This window comes from Homo sapiens, chromosome 9, assembly GCF_000001405.40.
Source record: "Homo sapiens chromosome 9, GRCh38.p14 Primary Assembly".
Taxonomy (NCBI): domain Eukaryota; kingdom Metazoa; phylum Chordata; class Mammalia; order Primates; family Hominidae; genus Homo; species Homo sapiens.
In genome coordinates this window covers 118,481,114-118,487,737 of record NC_000009.12, presented here as the reverse complement: position 1 = coordinate 118,487,737, position 6,624 = coordinate 118,481,114, and the positions used below count along the sequence as shown (strand labels likewise).

The 6,624-nt window shown below is 41.8% G+C and overlaps 2 annotated features.

Annotated features, from left to right (window-relative positions):
* Nucleotides 1,512–2,056: an enhancer, noted in NCBI's record as "OCT4-NANOG hESC enhancer chr9:121247960-121248504 (GRCh37/hg19 assembly coordinates)". NCBI's record gives its function as "activates a minimal SCP1, AML or CMV promoter by ChIP-STARR-seq in naive H9 embryonic stem cells {active_cell/tissue: H9 hESC(naive)}" and the evidence as "EXISTENCE:reporter gene assay evidence [ECO:0000049][PMID:30033119]".
* Nucleotides 4,988–5,537: an enhancer, noted in NCBI's record as "NANOG hESC enhancer chr9:121244479-121245028 (GRCh37/hg19 assembly coordinates)". NCBI's record gives its function as "activates a minimal SCP1, AML or CMV promoter by ChIP-STARR-seq in naive H9 embryonic stem cells {active_cell/tissue: H9 hESC(naive)}" and the evidence as "EXISTENCE:reporter gene assay evidence [ECO:0000049][PMID:30033119]".

Genomic DNA, 6,624 nt, shown 5'->3' with positions numbered 1-6,624 from the left:
TTGAAGACAGCTTTAGAAACTGCCCCCACTCTAGCTCTCCCTGACTCATCCCAACCCTTTTCATTACACACAGCCGAAGTGCAGGGCTGTGCAGTCGGAATTCTTACATAAGGACCAGGATCGCGTCCTGTAGCCTTTTTGTCCAAACAACTTGACCTTACTGTTTTAGGCTGGCCATCATGTCTCCATGCAGCTGCTGCTATTGCCCTAATACTTTTAGAGGCCCTCAAAATCACAAACTATGCTCAACTCACTCTCTACAGTTCTCATAACTTCCAAAATCTATTTTCTTCCTCATACCTGATGCATATACTTTCTGCTTGCCGGCTCCTTCAGCTATATTCACTCTTTGTTGAGTCTCCCACAATTACCGTTGTTCCTGGCCCAGACTTCAATCCGGCCTCCCACATTATTCCTGATACCACACCTGACCCCCATGACTGTATCTCTCTGATCCACCTGACATTCACCCCATTTCCCCAAATTTCCTTCTTTCCTGTTCCTCACCCTGATCAAGCTTGATTTATTGATGGTGGTTCCACCAGGCCTAATTGCCACACACCAGCAAAGGCAGGTTATGCTATAGTACAAGCCACTAGCCCGCCTCTTAGAACTTCTCATTTCATTTCCATTGTGGAAATCTATCCTCAAGGAAATAACTTCTCAGTGTTCCATCTGCTATTCTACTACTCCTCAGGGATTATTCAGGCCCCCTCCCTTCCCTACACATCAAGCTCGAGGATTTGCCCCACCCAGGACTGGCAAATTAGCTTTACTCAACATGCCCTGAGTCAGATAACTAAAATACCTCTTAGTCTAGGTAGATACTTTCACTGGATAGGTAGAGTCCTTTCCTACAGGGTCTGAGAAGGCCACCGCAGTCATTTCTTCCCTTCTGTCAGACATAATTCCTCAGTTTAGCCTTCCCACCTCAATACAATCTGATAACAGATGAGCCTTTATTAGTCAAATCAGCCAAGCAGTTTTTCAGGCTCTTAGTATTCAGTGAAACCTTTATATCCCTTACGGTCCTCCATCTTCAAGAAAAGTAGAATCGACTAAAGGTCTTTTAAAAACACACCTCACCAAGCTCAGCCACCAACTTAAAAAGAACTGGACAATACTTTTACCACTTTCCCTTCTCAGAATTCAGGCCTGTCCTCGGAATGCTACAGGGTATAGCCCAAGCCATCACAGCTAATATCTCCTGGTGCTATCCCCAAACTGCCACTCTTAACTCTTGAAGTAAATAAATAATCTTTGCTGGCAGGACTATGCTGAATCTCCTTAGGCACTCTCTAATCAGATATCCTGAGTCATCCCAATTCTTAGACCTTTTATACCTGTTTTTCTCCTTCTGTTATTCCATTTGGTTTCTCAATTCATCCAAAACCATATCCAGGCCATCACCAATCATTCTATATGACAAATGTTTCTTCTAACATCCCCACAATATCACCCCTTACCACAAGACCTCCCTGCAGCTTAATCTCTCCCACTCTAGGTTCCCACGCCGCCCCTAATCCCGCTTGAAGCAGCCCTGAGAAACCTCACCCATTCTCTCTCCATATCACCCCCCAAAAATTTTCGCCACCCCAACACTTTGACACTATTTTGTTTTATTTTTCTTATTAATATAAGAAGGCAGGAATGTCAGGCCTCTGAGCCCAAGCCAAGCCATCACATCCCCTGTGACTTGCACATATAAGCCCAGATGGCCTGAAGTAAGTGAAGAATCACAAAAGAAGTGAATATGCCCTGCCCCATCTTAACTGATGACATTCCACCACAAAAGAAGTATAAATGGCCGGTCCTTGCCTTAAGTGATGACATTACCTTGTGAAAGTCCTTTTCCCATCTCATCCTGGCTCAAAAAGCACCCCCCACTGAGCACCTTGCGACCCCCCCACTCCTGCCTGCCAGATAACAAACCCCCTTTGGCTGTAATTTTCCTTTACCTACCCAAATCCTATAAAACAGCCCCACCCTTATCTCCCTCCTCTGACTCTCTTTTCGGACTCAGCCCGCCTGCACCCAGGTGAAATAAACATCCACGTTGCTCACACAAAGCCTGTTTGGTGGTCTCTTCACACGGACGCGCATGAAACTGGTCATAACTGGGGACCCCCCTCTTAAGCTACCGTTTAGAAGATTTGGGGTCACTCCATTATGGAGTCATCACTTTTAGAATCCAATTTCTCCTTTGGACATCTATTTTTAAGAAGAAGAAAGTTGTTTGAGAAGGGCAGAAGGGCTTCAGCCATTCTTTTCTCCTCTATCTCCACTCCCTCCTCCCTCCTCCCTGCATCCCACCCCACCCTATTTTTTTTTTTTTTTTTTGCTCAGGCAGAGGGTAATTTGTATAGTAGCTAAAATAAAAGCAGTTTAACAGATGAAATCCACTCAAAGCCTGTGGACATCATTGAGGAGCTAATGAAATTTCTGTGCCTGGAACAGATTATTAGGCAACAGTTGAGATTGGAAAAAGATTAAGCTACTGAATTGCTGGCAGAACCAAAGGAAGGAGTCTAAAGTCAGCATTCATCATGCCCCATAGAAGATGAACAATTCGGGAAATAGAATTGGGTGATTTGTTCTGAGCTCTTAAGCTATTGTACCCTGTCTTTTTCCAACCTAGATGGGTGGACATTTTCTTTTTCCAAGTTCAGTCACTCCCGCTGCTCAGAAACTCCTGATAGCTCCCCAGTGCCATGCACACATAGCCTAGCATTCTAGGACCTCCAGGACCCTCTCTGTAATCCCCTCCCACAGTATATCTCATTGATTTCCTACATAAATTATCTTTTGAGGCACAGCTGGTGGATTTTGCACAGAGTAGATATTTACTATGTTTTACTCCTTGATCTCTGTTTCCACATCTTTGTTTACACGATTGCCCCATCTGGAAACAAACCCCCCACCCTTTATGTTTAACTGCAAAATAAATAGTAAAATTGGGACTTTTCCTTAATTATAATAGATGAAATTGCATAAATGCTTGCTTATGTGCTGTACTGCACATGCTTGTGTTGATACCCAGATGAATAAGAAATGTCTTCTGTTCACAAGAAAAATGGAGTCTTAAGAGAACAATGAGAAAATCAGAAAAGAAGTCATTTTCCAACTAACTCTTACGGTGTTCCAATAGCAGCTTCTATATATCGAGCACTTGCTAGGTGTCAGGCATTGTACTAAATGCTTATCAGAGACTACTACTTTTATTGATCACAAATATGTTGTGAGTTACAGTCTGTAACTTATCCCCACTTTACAGATGGGGCTCAGAAAAATTAAGTAATTGATCTAGTGTCATTAAATAGCTAAGCAGAGAAACAAAATAGAGTCTCTCTAACACCAAAGTATGCATTATTTCCACTATGTCATATTGAAGACTAATTCAGCTTTAGTGTACAGAATAAACACTAGAAAAGGATTATATAGTTAAATAATCCTGTAGTATTCTATGCAAGAGTTCATGAGAATATGAATAAGGGGGTGGCAATTAGAATGAGAGAAAGTGACTAAAATGCTAACATGGCCCATTTAAGGATGACCCTGTGCTTGAGTGCAGGGTACGGAAAGAAAGAGAGAGAGAGAGAGAGAGAGAGAGAGAGAGAGAGAAAGATGTCAGAGATGATGCTAAGACTCAACCCCAATTAATAGAATATATGCAAAGAGAATTAAAAAAATACTCTTTGGAAGTAATGATTTCCCTGTAACAGAAGCCCACTGGCCCAAACATTCCTCTAGGTAAAAGTCCTACTGAGTCACCAAAAGAGCAGTGATACTCACAAGAGTCTTTAATTCTCCAAGCTAATGATCACCATTGCATTGTTGTTTGTCACATGTCAGGAACCCCCAGTCTCTTATTCCCACGTGCTTTCTGCTCCTTGTCTAAGGCAGAGGTAGGAAAGGATTACAAGACTTTGACAGGGAATGGTTCCTTCTCCTTCAATTCCACCCTCAGTGGGGTAAAGTCAATTGGTCTGCACTTGATTTTTTATTTAACTTGTTTGTGCAGTAAAATGCTTTGGATGCAGATTAACTTTCCCCGTTCAATACTGCCTAATTGATTCACCTACCTTGAAGCAGAAGCTTGCAAGGCCTTTGATAAATAGGTTGAACGACTTCTTTTACTTCATAACTGCCTCTATGGCAATCACTCAACTATATCAGAGAATCCTATATATTCTCCAGTGATAAAAACATCAAGAGGTGGGGTCAGGAGAGACAAAGATCTTTCTTTTCTACTAGCAGCACACTCACTTTTTTGGGTGCCACTATCCATTTGTTCTGCTAAAACAAAATATCTGACATTGGGTAATTTATAAACAACAAAAGTTTACGTTTCACAGTTCTGCAGATTAATAGTCTATGATCAAGGTGCTGGCAGATTTGGTGTCTGGTGAAACCCCACGCTATGCTTCCAAGAGGGTACGTTGTTGCTGCATCCTCCGGAGGGGATGAAAGTTGTGTCCTCATGTGGCAAAAGAGAAAAAAGGGCAAGAAAGTGCTCCCTTCAACCTCAAGCCCTTTTATGGAGTGCTAATCCCATTTATAAGGATGGAGTTCTCATGACTCAATGATCTCCCCAAAGCAACACAATTTAATATTGTTACATTGGGGATTAATTTTCAACTTGAGTTTAGAGGCGACATCATCATTCAAACCATAACATTGGGTGATTATAAAGGTATAGGACAATGAATCCAGAGACAGTGCAGGGGATCACTATGTGTACAGCATAGTATGGACCAGAAATTTTTTATAAAAACACTCACCATCTTGATTATCAAGAAAATCTTATGTGATAGATATTGCAATTCAAACTTTGGGGATATGGAAACCGATGCACAGAGAAGTTAAGTAACTTGCCCAAGGTAGCACAGTGAGGAAATGGTAGAGCTAAATTTCTAACCTGTATTTCTCTAACATTAATTCTCTCCATGCTCTTAGCATACTGCTTCTCTCCTTGTCAGCAGAGTCCCAGTACATTTTCTCTTTAAAAAATGAAATTCAACAGTTGTTAAATCAGAGATCTAAAACAGAAAGCAATGTCAAAAACAAATTGTGACAGAACTGAGTCTTAGCAACCAAACTCAACTGCTCCTTCCATGGTAGGAAATAGCATCAGCCTAAAGAGGGAGGGGGCCTCCCTCCAGCAGTATGTGACAAAGGTGGCACTGAAGTGTAGGATGTGGAATGGAAGGGGCCTTTGATCAATGAACAAAGCAGTTGCTTCCACAAGAAAGGATACTGGAACAATCAGCCCCTACCCCTGGCCCCAGGATAAGGCAGCAGCCTGAGGGCCTGTCTCCAGTACAAAGCAAACACCAGGTTTCCTCTCCAAACCTGACTGTGTTTTTCCTATTTGATCGCCAAATGGATGTACCTCCTGCAAAGAGAAAAGGCATCTTATAAACTTTGCTCACAGTTGTTCTTATGGCTGCCCGTGATCAGACCCATCTCCTGTCTTTTCCTGCTGTGTTTTTCCAAGGTTATATGTGTACTCAAACAGACACATTATACTCCCCTAGCCCACAGGTTATTATACATATAAGAGATAGTGCTTATTAAGAAAGTTGCATACATTTCTGCTATTTACCAGTACTCATCGACTGACTGCACTCATCAGGTGATGCACTATTGTGAGCAATATAAAACAAGACTTTTACCTGTGAGGAGTTCACAGACTACTGAGAAAAAGAGATGTAATAACATTGTAGCAGTGCAATATATAATATGGGAGGTCAAGGTGATGTTTTGGATAATTGAAAGAAGTGTAGTCCACAATGAGGGGTAGAATTAGAATGAAAACATAACTTTTATAACAGCAATATTATAATGCACCCTATTCTTGCTAGACATTGCTTTTGAACACAGTATGATTATTGGCAGTAGAGCAGTGAACAAGTCGGACTACACTACTGCTCTAGTGGGAAGAAGACACACAGTAGACAAGTATTCAAATACATAAGATAATGTCAAATAGGAATTTGGGCTATGAGGAGAATAAAACAGGGTTATGTGAGGTCGAGATGCTCAGGAGCATGAGCAGAATTGAATGCTGTGGTCAGAGAAAACCATCTAAAGAATTAGTATTTGCATGAAGAAGTCAGTGTACAGTTAAATGTTACATAGTAAAAGTCATGAGAAAATACCTTGGGCCAAAATATCTCCAATGATGATATCTAAAATCTCGCTATTGTTTAGTGACAGCTAGGAAAATGCAATTTTCAGATCTCCCACTGCAGGACTCATAGCTCCCTGATGTCCCTAGCTGCTACTGCCTCACGGATCCACCAAAACTACACCAAAACTACATTGGCTGATCCTAGCCAATGGCTGAGCACATTAGGGGTATTAAAGCAGACCCACTCTAGTGAGATAAGGAACTAGTAGAATACACTCAGTGGGCTCAAGGTCTGCCCATTGGCCTAGCTGACACTTTCTTGGAACTGTGAGGCAGTCTGAAATTCCTTCTACTCCAGTTTTCCTTCCTTCCTCTCTTCTTCCACAGGTTTCCAACCTGCATCATGGTCTGAAGGCTCTCTTTTCTCCTGTTTGTAATGCCAATCAATTCCGTATATATCTTAGTCTTTCTTGGCTGTTGCTTCTCAGTGG